Here is a 13469-nt window from a genome sequence, read left to right on the forward strand (position 1 = left end):
CCAACATAGAGAAACCCCATATCTACTAAAACTACAAAATTAGGTGGGCATGGTGGCACATGCCTGCAATCCCAGCTACTCAGGAGGCTGAGGCAGGAGAATCGCTTGAATCCAGGAGGCAGAGGTTGCGGTGAGCCGAGATCACGCCATTGCACTCCAGCCTGGGCAACGAGAGCGAAACTCTGTCTCAAAATAAATAAATAAATAAAAATAAAGAACAGCCTGTGCTTTCCCTAGTTAACTTCTCCTTTTCCTAGTCCCTAGAAACCACTGATCCATTTTCCATCCCTACAGTTTGGCCATTTCTAGAATGTCTTGTGAAGGGAATTATTCAATATATAGCATTTCTAGTCTGTTTTATTCCCCCTTAGCAAAATTCCCTTAAGATTCATCCATGTGGCCGGGCATGGTGGCTCACATGTGTAATCTTAGCACTTTGGGAGACCAAGGCAGGTGGATCACCTGAGGTCAGGAGTTCAAGACCAGACTGGCCAACAAGGCAAAACCTGTCTCTACTAAAAATACAAAAATTAGCTGGGCATGGTGGCAGGCGCCTGTAATCCCAGCTACTCAGGAGGCTGAGGCAGGAGAATTGCTTGAACCTGGAAGGCGGAGGTTGCAGTGAGCAGAGATCATGCCATTCACTCCAGCCTGGGTGAAAGAGTCAGACTCCATCTCAAAAAAAAAAAAAAAGGCCGGGTGCAGTGGCTCACACCCGTATTCCCAGCACTTTGGGAGGCCAAGGCGGGTGGATCACCTGAGGTCAGGGTTTCAAGACCAGCCTGGTCAACATGGTGAAACCCTATCTCTACAAAAATACAAAAAATTAACTGGGCATGACGGTGGGTGCCTGTAATCCCAGCTACTCAGGAGGCTGAGGTGGGAGAATCACTTGAACCCAGGAGGCAGAGGTTGCAGTGAGCCGAGATCATGCCACTGCACTCCAGGCTGGGTGACAGAGTGAGACTGTCTCAAACAACAACAACAAAAAGATTCATCCATGCTACTGTGTGGATAAATAGTATTTCCCATTTTTTCTTGCTGAATAGTTTTCCATCATATGTGCCACATTTTGTTTACCCATTCACTTATTGAAGGACATCTTGGTTGCTTCTGGTTTTGGATAATTATGAATAAATCTGTTATAAACATTCACGTACAGGTTTCTGTGTGGACGTGTTTTCAAATCAGGTGGTTTTGAAAACCTAGGAGAAAGACTACTAGGTCATATGGTAAGTCTATGTTGAACATTAAAAACTGGGAAACTGTCTTCCAACATGGCTGTATCATTTTTGCATTCCCATTAGCAATGAAAGACAGTACCGATGTTTCAAATCCTTGACAGCATTTGTTATTGTTAGTTCATTTCTTATCTTAAATATTCTGATGTGTATGTAGTGGCATCTTATGTTTTGTACTTTGCCTTTCTCTAAATGAAAAACGATGTTGACAGCATCTTTTCTTTCTTTTTTTTTTTTTTTTAAGGTGTACACTTTTATTCAACTGGTCTCAAGTTAGTGTACAGGTAAGTCCTGGCTGCATCCACGCACTTCCAGGGAGACCAAAAGCCTTCATACATCTTAAGTTGGGGGAAAAGAAATGGGGAGCCACGAAGGCTGATCATTCAAAATAAAACAAAGTAAAAAAGTATTAAGGTGAAGATTTTTTAAAAATTGTATTACATAATTTACACGAAAGCAATGCTATCACCTCCCCTGTGTGGACTCCGGAGAGGACTGGGCCATTCTCCTTAGAGAGAAGTGAGGTGGCTTTTAGGAGGGCAAGGGACTTCCTGTAACAATGCATCCCATGATATTTGGAATGACTATCAAAAAAAAGAACAACGTACAATCAAAGTCCTCGGCCACATTGTAGAACTTTGGGGGATGCTCGCTCCAACCGACTGCTGTCACCTTCACCGTTCCAGTTTTTAAATCCTGAGTCAAGCCAAAAGAAAACTCCAGCCACAAAAAAAACAAAGTCACACCAATCTCATCTTGTTTTTAGTGCAAGTTAGGTTTTGTCAAGAAAGAGTGTAATGCAACTAAGTCACAGTCCACCTAGAAGCATTTGCGGTGGACGATGGAGGGGCTGGACTCACTGTACTCCTGCTTGCTGATCCACATCTGCTGGAAGGTGGACAGCGAGGCCAGGATGGAGCCTCTGATCCACACAGAGTACTTGCACTCAGGAGGAGCAATGATCTTGATCTTCATTGCGCTGGGCGCCAGGGCGGTAATCTCCTTCTGCATCCTGTTGGTGATGCTAGGGTACATGGTGGTGCTGCCAGACAGCACTGTGTTGGCATACAGGTCTTTGTAGATGTCCACATCCGACTTCATGATGGAGTTGAAGGTAGTTTCGTGGATGCCACAGGATTCCATGCCCACGAAGGAAGTTTGGAAGAGTGCCTCGGGGCAGCAGAACCACTTGTTGCTAATGGTGATGACCTGGCCATTGGGCAGCTTGTAGCTCTTCTCCAGGGAGGAGCTGGAGCCCACCATGGCCATCTCCTGCTCAAAGTCCAGGGGGATGTAGCACAGCCTTTTCTTGATGTCACACACAATTTCCTGCATGACTGTGGTGGTGAAGCTGTAGCCACACTGGGTGAGGATCTTCATGAGGTAGTCAGTCAGGTTCCGGCCAGTCAGGTCCAGACACAGGATGGTGTGGGGGAGGGGTGTACCCTTCATAGATGGGCACAGTGTTGGTGACCCCATCACCGGAGTCCATCACAATGCCAGCTATGGCCAGAGGCGTACAGGGACAGCACGGCCTGGATGGCCACGTATATGGCTGGGGTGTGAAGGTCTCAAACATGATCTAAGTCATCTTCTCGCAGTTGTCCTTGGGGTTCAGAGGGGCCTCAGTCAGCAACACAGCGTGCTCCTCAAGAGCCACACCCGGCTCGTTGTAGAAGGTGTGGTGTCCCTCTCCCTCTCCCTCTCCCTCTCCCCACGGTCTCCCTCTCCCTCTCTCCCCACGGTCTCCCTCTGATGCCGAGCCGAAGCTGGACTGTACTGCTGCCATCTCGGCTCACTGCAACCTCCCTGCCTGATTCTCCTGCCTCAGCCTGCCGAGTGCCTGCGATTGCAGGCGCGCGCCGCCACGCCTGACTGGTTTTCGTATTTTTTTGGTGGAGACGGGGTTTCGCTGTGTTGGCCGGGCTGGTCTCCAGCTCCTAACCGCGAGTGATCCGCCAGCCTCGGCCTCCCGAGGTGCCGGGATTGCAGACGGAGTCTGGTTCACTCAGCGCTCAATGGTGCCCAGGCTGGAGTGCAGTGGCGTGATCTCGGCTTGCTACCACCTCCACCTCCCAGCCGCCTGCCTTGGCCCCCCAAAGTGACGAGATTGCAGCCTCTGCCCGGTCGCCACCCCGTCTGGGAAGTGAGGAGCGTCTCTGCCTAGCTGCCCATCGTCTGGGATGTGAGGAGCCCCTCTGCCTGGCTGCCCAGTCTGGAAAATGAGGAGCGTCTCTGCCCGGCCGCCATCCCATATAGGAAGTGAGGAGCGCCTCTTCCCGACCGCCATCCCATCTAGGAAGTGAGGAGCGTCTCTGCCCGGCCGCCCATCGTCTGAGATGTGGGGAGCACCTCTGCCCCGCCACCCCGTCTGGGATGTGAGGAGCGCCTCTACCCGGCCGCGACCCCGTCTGGGAGGTGAGGAGCGTCTCTGCCCGGCCGCCCCGTCTGAGAAGTGAGGAGACCCTCCGCCTGGCAACCGCCCCGTCTGAGAAGTGAGGAGCCCCTCCACCCGGCAGCCGCCCTGTCAGAGAAGTGAGGAGCCCCTCTGCCCGGCAGCCACCCCGTCTGGGAAGTGAGGAGCGTCTCCGCCCGGCAGCCACCCCGTCCGGGAGGGAGGTCGGGGGGTCAGCCAGCCGCCCCGTCCGGGAGGGAGGTGGGGGGGTCAGCCCCCCGACCGGCCAGCCGCCCTGTCCGGGAGGGAGGTGGGGCCGGGAGGGAGGTGGGGCGGGTCAGGCCCCCGCCCGGCCAACCGCCCTGTCCGGGAGGTGAGGGGCGCCTCTGCCCGGCCGCCCCTACTGGGAAGTGAGGAGCCCCTCTGCCCGGCCAGCCGCCCCGTCCGGGAGGGAGGTGGGGGGGTCAGCCCCCCGCCCGGCCAGTCGCCCCGTCAGGGAGGTGAGGGGCGCCTCTGCCCAGCTGCCCCTACTGGGAAGTGAGGAGCCCCTCTGCCCGGCTGCCACCCCGTCTGGGAGGTGTGCCCAGCAGCTCATTGAGAATGGGCCATGATGACAATGGCGGTTTTGTGGAATAGAAAGGGGGGAAAGGTGGGGAAAAGATTGAGAGGTTGGATGGTTGCTGTGTTTGTGTGGAAAGAGGTAGACATGGGAGACTTCTCATTTTGTTCTGTACTAAGAAAAATTATTCTGCCTTGGGATCCTGTTGATCTGTGACCTTACCCCCAACCCTGTGCTCTCTGAAACATGTGCTGTGTCCACTCAGGGTTAAATGGATTAAGGGCGGTGCAAGATGTGCTTTCTTAAACAGATGCTTGAAGGCAGCATGCTCGTTAAAAGTCATCACCACTCCCTAATCTCAAGTACCCCGCGACACAAACACTGCGGAAGGCCGCAGGGTCCTCTGCCTAGGAAAACCAGAGACCTTTGTTCACTTGTTTATCTGCTGACCTTCCCTCCACTATTGTCCTATGACCCTGCCGAATCCCCCTCTGCGAGAAACACCCAAGAATGATCAATAAAAAAAAATAAAAAAATAAAAATAAAAAATAAAAAAAAAAAAAGAAACTATCCAATCCTCAGCCTGCTCGGCTGCTTACTCTGTTTCACCCATGCCTTCTGTGAAAACAACAGTAAAGGTTTTGCCCAGGCTTTTTCCTCATTCTGCTGCTTCCTGATTGACCTCGTTCTTCCCTGTGTGGCCCCTCATGGTGTGACATGCCCCTTTCTCTTGGAAACTGTAATAAACTTTTCTTTTAAAGGAAAAAAAAAAAAAAAAAAAAGAAGGTGTGGTGTCAGATCTCCATGTCATCCCAGTTGGTGATGATGCTATGCTCAATGGGGTACTTCAGGGTCAGGATGCCTCTCTTGCTCTGGGCCTCATCCACATAGGAGTCCTTCTGACCCATGCCCACCATCATGCCCTGGTGCCATGATGAAGGGGAAGGCAGCCCGGGGGACACCATCGCTCGCAAAGCTAGCCTTGCATATGCCAGAGCCATTGTTGAATACGAGAGCAGTGATATCGTCATGCATGGTGAGCTGGCAGCAGGTGTGGATGGGCGGCGGAGTGGAGAGGGCGAGGCTCTGTGCTCGTGGGGAGGATGCAGTCTTGGCTTCTTTTGTTTTGTTTGTTTTTTGAGATGGAGTTTCGCTTTTGTTGCCCAGGCTGTAGTGCAATAGTGCAATCTCGGCTCACTGTAACCTCTGCCTCCTGGGTTCAAGCGATTCTCCTGCCTCAGCCTCCCAAGTAGCTGGGATTATAGGCATGCGTCACCAAGCCCGGCTAATTTTTTGTATTTAGTAGAGACAGGGTTTCACAATGTTGGTTAGGCTGGTCTCAAACTCCTGACCTTAGGTGATCCACACGCCTCGGCCTCCCAAAATGCTGGGATTACAGGTGTGAGCCACCGCCCTGGCCAACAGCATCTTTTCATGTTCTTATTTGTCATTCATATATCTCCTCTGTTGAAGTGTTCTATTCAGATATTTTGTCCATTTAAAAAATTGAGTTCTTTTCCTATTGTTGCATTTGAAGAATTCTTTATATATTGGATATATGTCCCTTATCATGTAAACCAAAAAGTATCTGAGACAAGTCTCAATCAATTTAGAAGCTTATTTTGCCAAGGCTAGGGATTGTGACTGGTGACACAGCCTCAGGAGGTCCTGGGAACATGTGCCCAAGGTGGTTGGGTTACAGCTTGACTCTATACCTTTTAGGGGGACAGAAGTTATAGGCACACATCAATCAATGTAAGGTGTACATTGGTTCAGTCTGGAAAAGTGGGACACACCTGTAATTCCAGCTACTCGGGAGGCTGAGGCAGGAGAATCGCTTGAACCCGGGAGGTAGAGGTTGCAGTGACCTGAGATCACACTATTGCACTCCAGTCGACAGAGCAAGACTCCGTCTCAAAAAAAAAAAAAAAGAAAAAGAAAAAGAAAATTGGGACAACTTGAAGTGAGGACGGGGACGGTTCCTGGTCATAGGTGGATTCAAAGATTTTATGGTTGGCAGTTGGTTGAAAAAAATTATGTTATTATCTAAAGACCTGGAATCAACAGAAAGGAACTCTGGATTAAGATAAGCGGTTGGCCAAGTGCGGTGGCTCATGCCTGTAATCCCAGCACTTTGGGAGGCCGAGGTAGGTGGATCACCCGAGGCCCAGGAAATCGAGGCTGCAGTGAGCTGAGATTGCACCACTGCCCTCCAACCTGGGTGATAGAGTGAGACCCTGTCTCAAAAAAAAGGTGCTAGACTCTTAGTTAATCTCTCCTGAGTCAGGAAAAGTTCTGGAAAGGGAAGGAGGTTCTCTACAGAATGTAGATTTCCCCCATAAGAGTCGTTTTGCAGGGCCATTTAAAAAATACATCAAGGAAGCCGGGCACGGTGGCTCACACCTGTAATCCCAGCACTTTGGGAGGCCGAGGCGTGTGGATCACGAGGTCAGGAGATTGAGACCATCCTGGCCAACATGGTGAAACCCAGTCTTTAATAAAAATACAAAAATTAGCTAGGCGTGGTGGTGCGTGCCTGTAATCCCAGCTACTCGGGAGGCTGAGGCAGGAGAATCACCTGAACCAGGGAGTCAGAGGTTGCAGTGAGCCGAGATCATGCCACCGCATGCCAGCCTGGTGACAGAGACTCCATCTCAAAAACAAAAACAAAAAAAACCCAAAAAATATATATTTCAGGGTAAAATACTTCACTTTCAGGGCCTGCTATCTGGCATGTGATGTTATACTAGAGTCAGGTTGGAATTTGGTGTATTATTGCTACGAAGAGTCAGCTTTGTTAGCTGACAGTTTAAAAGCTCTGTTTTAATGTTAATGCTGGTCAGCTGTGCCTAAATTCCAAGGAGAGAGGGTATAACGAGGCAATCACTTCAACAAATCCCTTCTTCCCATCACGGCCTGAAATAGTTTTTCAGGCCTCCTTTGGAATGCCCTTGGCTGATGGGGGTCCATTCACTTGGTTCAGAGTCTGAGAATGTTATTTTTGGTGTAGGATCATATATACCAAAATCTACTGCAGAAGATTTTATAGGCAGATTTTATACGTAATTTGCAATTTTTTCTTCCAGTCTGTGGCTTGTCATTTTGTTCACAATGTCTTTCACAAGTGAAAGTTTTTAATTTCTAGAACGTCCAATTTATTAAATCTTTCTTTCATAGATTATGCTTTTGGTATTGTATCTAAAAAGTCATTGCCAAATCAGGAGTCACAAAGACTTTCTCCTGTGTTTTCTTCTAGCCGTTTACAGCTTTGTATTTCATATTTAATTTTTTTTTTTTTTTTTTGAGACAGGGTCTCTCTCTGTCACCCAGGTTGGAGTGCAGTGGCACGATCTCTGCTCATTGCAACCTCCGCCCCCCTGGGCTCAAGCGATCTTCCCACCATAGCCTCCCAAGTAGCTGGGAGTTGCCATGTTGCCCAGGCTGGTCTCGAACTCCTGAGCTCAGGCAACCCGCCCACCTCAGGCTCCTGAAGTGTTGAAATTACAGGCGTGAGCCACCGTGCCCGGCCTGTATTTCATATTTAAATCTATGATTCATTTAAAGTTAATTTTCGTCTAAGGTGTGAGATATGTGTCAAAGTTTATTGTTTTTGCATATAGATGTCCAATTTGTTCATCACCATTTGCTGAAAAAGACTATTTCTTCATTGAATTGCCTTTCTATCTTTGATAAAAATCAGTTGACTATATTAGTGTGGTTCTATTTCTGAGCTCTCTCTTTTGTTTCACTGGTTTATGTGTCTGTCCTTTCTTTTTTTTTTTTTTGAGACGGAGTTTCCGCTCTTGTTGCCCAGGGTGGAGTGCAATGGAACGACCTTGGCTCTCTGCAACCTCTGCCTCCCAGGTTCAAGCAATTCTCCTGCCTCAGCCTCCCAAGTAGCTGGGATCAAATGCATATGCCGCTACAGCTGGCTGATTTTGTATTTTTAGTAGAGATGGGGTTTCACCATGTTGGCCAGGCTGGTCTCAAACTCCTGACCTCAGGTGATCCACCCTCCTTGGGCTCCCAAAGTGCTGGGATTACAGGCGTGAGCCATTGTGCCTGACTTTATGTGTCTATCCTTTCACACTGCCTTGATCACTGTCAGTGAATATGAGCCTTCCTACTTCATTCTCCTTTTCCAAGATTGCTTTGGTTATTCTAGATCCCTTGAATTTCCATATGAATTTTAGGATCAGCTTGTCGATTTCTTCCCCCCACAGTCCCCAACTGGCTTGCTTTTCATTGTCTTAACCTTCAAGCTTTTACTTAAGTGTAATCAACCAGGTGAGGGTGGTAGGAGGTATTTCTCAACACTTCTCATGTATACTCAAATTTTGGGTTCTTGTTTGGAGTAAAACAGGCTCTTCACTGTTTACAAGGTTATTTCTGATCTGCGAAACTTCTCTGTCCATATTTTTCCTCTGTTTTCCTCTATTCAGTCTTGGCTACCACAATAAGACAGACAGAAAGGACAATGACACCTTTTTCTTGCATCTGTAGTGAGAACCTTAGCAGCACCCAGTAATTGCACTAGGTCTGTCAAACAGATGTATAGCTTGTCAATTTTGGCAAGAGGCAGCTGGGATTTTGAAAGGGATTATGTTGAATCAGTGAATCAATTTAGGAAATATTGCTATCTTAACAATATTAAGTCTCCAAATCCATGAAAGTGAGATATTTTTCCATTTATTTGAAGTTTTAATATCGTTCAACACTGTTTTAGAGTTTTCAGAAGTATTGCACTTCTTTTGTTACATTTATTTCTATGTAGAGTTGATTCTCATCATTTGCAGCAATCACAATCTATGAAGTCACTCCAAACATTGAACTAGTGATTACTATAGCTTTTGGAGCAATACACAGTGAGGTTCTTGTGAGCCTCCGGTCTCAACATTTTTGTCAGTTGAAATGCCATTTGTGTTACATAGGTTTGTTTGCCAGTGCCCTTGTAAAACAAGCCAGTCCCATCAGTGTTGAAAGCCTGCTCTTCCTCATAATCCTCTTTCTTTTTTTTTTTTTTTTGAGACAGCGTCTCACTCTGTTGCCCAGGCTGAGTGCAGTGGTGCCATCTCGGCTCACCACAACCTCTGCCTCCCAGGTTCAAGTGATTCTCCTGCCTCAGCCTCCCAGGTAGCTGGGATTACAGGTGAGTGCCACCACATCCAGCTAATTTTTGTATCTTTAGTAGAGATGGGGTTTCACCATATTGGCCAGGCTGGTCTCGAACTCCTGACCTCAGGTGATCCACCCACCTCGACCTCCCAAAGTGCTGGGATTACAGGCGTGAGCCACTGCACCTGGCCTCATAATCCCTTTTCTGTATAACACTTAGCAGGTATTTTTAAAAATTCTTCTGTAGCCTCCTGTCTGCAGAACCTGCCTCTCCAGCAACTTTAAAGAGGCAGGAGACTTGGACTCTGATCCCAACTCTCATCATAACTAGCTGTAACGTTGGGCAAGTCTCTTAGAAAAAAGAAAAAAGACTTTGGATGAGAATATCACTAAGGTTCCACTTTATAGAGTTCAGGTATTATGCCACCTAAAAAGGTAACATTTGTGGCCGGGCGCGGTGGCTCACGCCTGTAATCCCAGCACTTTGGGAGGCTGAGGCGGGTTGATCACGAGGTCAGGAGATCGAGACCATCCTGGCTAACATGGTGAAACCCCGTCTCTACTAAAAAAAAAATACAAAAAATTAGCCGGGCGTGGTGGCGGGTGCCTGTAGTCCCAGCTACTCGGGAGGCTGAGACAGGAGAATGGCATGAACCCGGGAGGCGGAGCTTGCAGTGAGCCGAGATCGCGCCACTGCGCTCCAGCCTGGGCGACAGAGTGAGACTCCTCCGTCTCAAAAAAAAAAAAAAAAAAAACAAACAAAAAGTAACATTTGTAGAGTAATTTTTAAAGCTCATAGCACCACCTGGTGGTTACAGAAAAGGACACGCTCCGGAAAGGAGATTCTGTATGTTTTGATTTTTGAATAAAAATTTCAATTTTCAGATAATTTCCCCTCTAAACTGGCTACCTATAGGTGCACTACTACATCTAAACGCATCATAAAATTATGCTTAAAATCTCACCCTGCATAGAATTCCTTGCGAATGTAAAGACTCTAACCCTTGGATAGTTATCACCAATCAGCAGCTATTATTCTCTCTTTTTATTTATTTATTTATTTATTTATTTATTTATTTATTTTGGAGAGATAACATCTCACTATGTTGCCCAGGCTGGTCTCGAACTCCTGTACCCAAGAGATCCTCCCACTTCAGCCTCCCAAAGTAATAGGATTACAGGTGTGAGCCACCATGCCCTGCCAGCTATTATTCTTTGGTTTTAAAGAAACCTATTAAACAATTACATAAAATAAATTTTTTATTATACCAAAACATTTCCATATTAAAGTTTTTCATATGAGAAATGACTCTGTCAGAGGCACCAACAGATGCCTACCACATTGGGCATAAAACACAATAATAACAGTTTATATCTATTTGTGTTTGTCTTATTTCTAATCATTATTAGATTGAGGTGATGCAATTTTGGTAAAAATGCCACAGAAGTGGTAAGTTCTTAGTGTATCATTTTGAAGCAGCATCGTCTGTGGTAAACACCTGGGGTTCGTCATCTTGCGCCAAGAAAATTAAGGACAGGGACATGTGGGTGGGTTAAGGAGTGTAAAGTTTAATAGGTAGAAGAAAGGAAAGAGGAGAGCAGCTCCTTGGGTGACAGAGGCTGGAAAACAGAGAATAGCAGCTGATTGCCGCAGATTTTATAGGCAGGCTTGAGAAGGCGGCAGCGTGTGATTTACCCGGGCTCACATATTGGTTTGACCAGGTGTGACACTTACATAGAGGCCGGGGAAAGCTGGTCGCCCCACCCTAATCTTGTTATGCAAATGAGCTTTCCACTGGGCTGGCGCCATCTTGTCTGTTCCTTATGGTACACGTGGCTGGCAAAAAGAGAAGACAGAGCCACCATTTTGAACATTCCTAGTCCTAGGTCATATATTCCTATGGGCACAACTGCTGGCATTCACCCGTGCACGCTTCCAGCTTGCTGCTGTCTGCAGCTCGATTTTACAGGCTGCTCTTTGTTAGAAAGGGAAATGATTTGGGGGCTGCTTTTTTTTTTTTCTTAAGACGGAGTCTTGCTCTGTCACACCCAAGCTGGAGTGCAGTGGTGGGAATCTCAGCTCTCTGCAACCTCTGCCTCCTGGCTTCAAGCGATTCTCCTGCCTCAGCCTCCTGCGTAGCTGGGATTACAGGCGCCTGCTATCACGCCCGGCTAATTTTTTGTATTTTTAGTAGAGACAGGGTTTCACCATGTTGGTCAGGCTGGTCTCAAACTCCTAACCTCAGGTGATCCACCCACCTCGGCTTCCCAAAGTGCTGGTGTGTCCGAAATTGGTGGGTTCTTAGTCTCGCTGACTTCAATAATGAAACCACGGACCCTCGCGGTGAGTGTTACAGTTCTTAAAGATGGTGTGTCCGGAGTTTGTTCCTTCTGATGTTCGGACGTGTTCAGAGTTTCTTCCTTCTGGTGGGTTTGTGGTCTCACTGGTTTCAGGAGTGAAGCTGCAGATCTTCACGGTGAGTGATACAGCTCATAAAGGCAGCAGCAAGATTTATTGCAAAGAGCGAAAGAACAAAGCTTCCGCAACGCGGAAGGGGACCTGAGTGGGTTGCCACTACTGGCTAGGGCAGCCTGCTTTTATTCCCTTATCTGGCCCCACCCACATCCTGCTGATTGGTCCATTTTACAGAGAGCTGATTGGTCTGTTTTGACAGGGTGCTGATTGGTGCATTTACAATCCTTTAGCTAGACGCAAAAGTTCTCCAAGTCCCCACTAGATTAGCTGGGCACAGAGCACTGATTGGTGCGTTTACAAACCTTGGGCTAGACACAGGGTGCTGATTGGTGCGTTTACAATCCTCCAGCTAGACATAAAAGTTCTCCAAGTCCCCACCAGATTAGCTAGATACAGAGTGCTGATTGGTGCATCCGCGAACCCCGAGCTAGACGCAGAGTGCTGATTGGTGCATATAGAATCCTCTGGCTAAACATAAAAGTTCTCCAAGTCCCCACCTGACTCAGGAGCCCAGCTGGCTTCGCCTAGTGGATCCCGTGCCAGGGCCATGGGCTGAGCTGCCCGCCAGTCCCGCACCAGGCGCCTGCACTCCTCAGCCCTTGGGCGGTAGATAGGACCGGGTACCGCAGAGCAGGGCGCGGTGCCCGTTGGGGAGGCTCGGCCGCGTGGGAGCCCACCACGGGAGGCTCAGGCATGGTGGGCTGCAGGTCCCGAGCCCTGCCCCGGGCGGGAGGCCACTGAGGCCTGGCGAGAATTCGAGCGCAGCACGGGTGCGCTGGCAGTGCTGGGGGACCTGGCTCACTCTCTGCAGCTGCTGGCCTGGGTGCTAAGCCCCTCACTGCTGGGGGCTGGCGGTGCTGGCTGGCCGCTCCAAGTGTGGGGCCACTGAGTCCGTGCCCACCCGGAACTCGTGCAGCCCTGGTTCCCACTGGCGCCTCTCCCTCCACACCTCTCTGCAAGCAAAGGGAGCCAACCAGCCCAGAGAGGGGCTCCCACAGTGTGGTGGCGGGCTGAAGGGCTCCTCAAGCACGGCCAGAGTGGGCGCCAAGGCTGAGAAGGCCCTGAGAGTGAGTGAGGGATGCCAGCATGTTGTCACCTCTCACTGGGATTACAGGCATGAGCCACCGTGCCCGGCCCTGGGGCTGCTTTTCATTAAAAGGGAAACCTTACCCAGGATTTCTGTATCCTATCTGCCTAAGTAATTTCTTTTTAAACTCCTATATCAATACAAAAGGGTACATTATGTCAATATGTCTAATTTCTGGTTATGTTAGCTTTGATCATTAAGACAGCTATCTACTGGGTTTATCCACTATGAAGTTACTATCTTTTCGTTTGTATTTAACAAACATCTTGTTAATTACTTTGAGACTATGGGGAGACATTTTGAGACTATGCAAATATCCTGTTTCTCTCTCCTAATTTTAGTACTCATAGGTGGATCTTGCCTGTAACAATTATTACAGTGGTGTTCTAAGGATGGTTTCTGTTTTCCTCATTCCTTTCCTATATATTAATGGGAATTATTTGGTAAAGAAGTGTCTCTTTTCCTGTATTTAGTTATTTACTCATTCAACAACCTATGGTTTCATAGAATTTTTTTTTTTTTTTTTTTTGAGACAGAGTTTCACTCTTGTTGCCAAGGCTGGAGTGCAATGGCACGATCTCGGCTTCCTGCACTCA

At 48.2% G+C, this 13469-nt stretch overlaps 1 long non-coding RNA gene, 1 other non-coding gene and 1 pseudogene across 3 annotated transcripts; all 3 read right to left on the minus strand.

Annotated features, from left to right (window-relative positions):
- Positions 1-1467: 1467 nt before the first annotated feature.
- On the minus strand, positions 1468-2861 carry LOC644936 (actin beta pseudogene; annotated as a pseudogene). Its single transcript, NR_004845.2, has one exon. The product of NR_004845.2 is annotated as an actin beta pseudogene (transcript).
- A 5756-nt stretch (positions 2862-8617) lies between these two features.
- On the minus strand, positions 8618-8751 carry LOC124900204 (small nucleolar RNA SNORA31). Its single transcript, XR_007059153.1, has one exon. It is a non-coding gene; the product is annotated as a small nucleolar RNA SNORA31 (small nucleolar RNA).
- Positions 8752-10859: 2108 nt separating this feature from the next.
- LOC124901015 (uncharacterized) lies at positions 10860-11885 on the minus strand. Its single transcript, XR_007058841.1, has 2 exons — positions 11570-11885; positions 10860-11147 (listed from the first exon to the last, which is right to left on the minus strand). It is a non-coding gene; the product is annotated as an uncharacterized LOC124901015 (long non-coding RNA).
- Positions 11886-13469: the final 1584 nt, after the last annotated feature.

The sequence above is a fragment of the Homo sapiens genome, chromosome 5, assembly GCF_000001405.40.
Source record: "Homo sapiens chromosome 5, GRCh38.p14 Primary Assembly".
Taxonomy (NCBI): domain Eukaryota; kingdom Metazoa; phylum Chordata; class Mammalia; order Primates; family Hominidae; genus Homo; species Homo sapiens.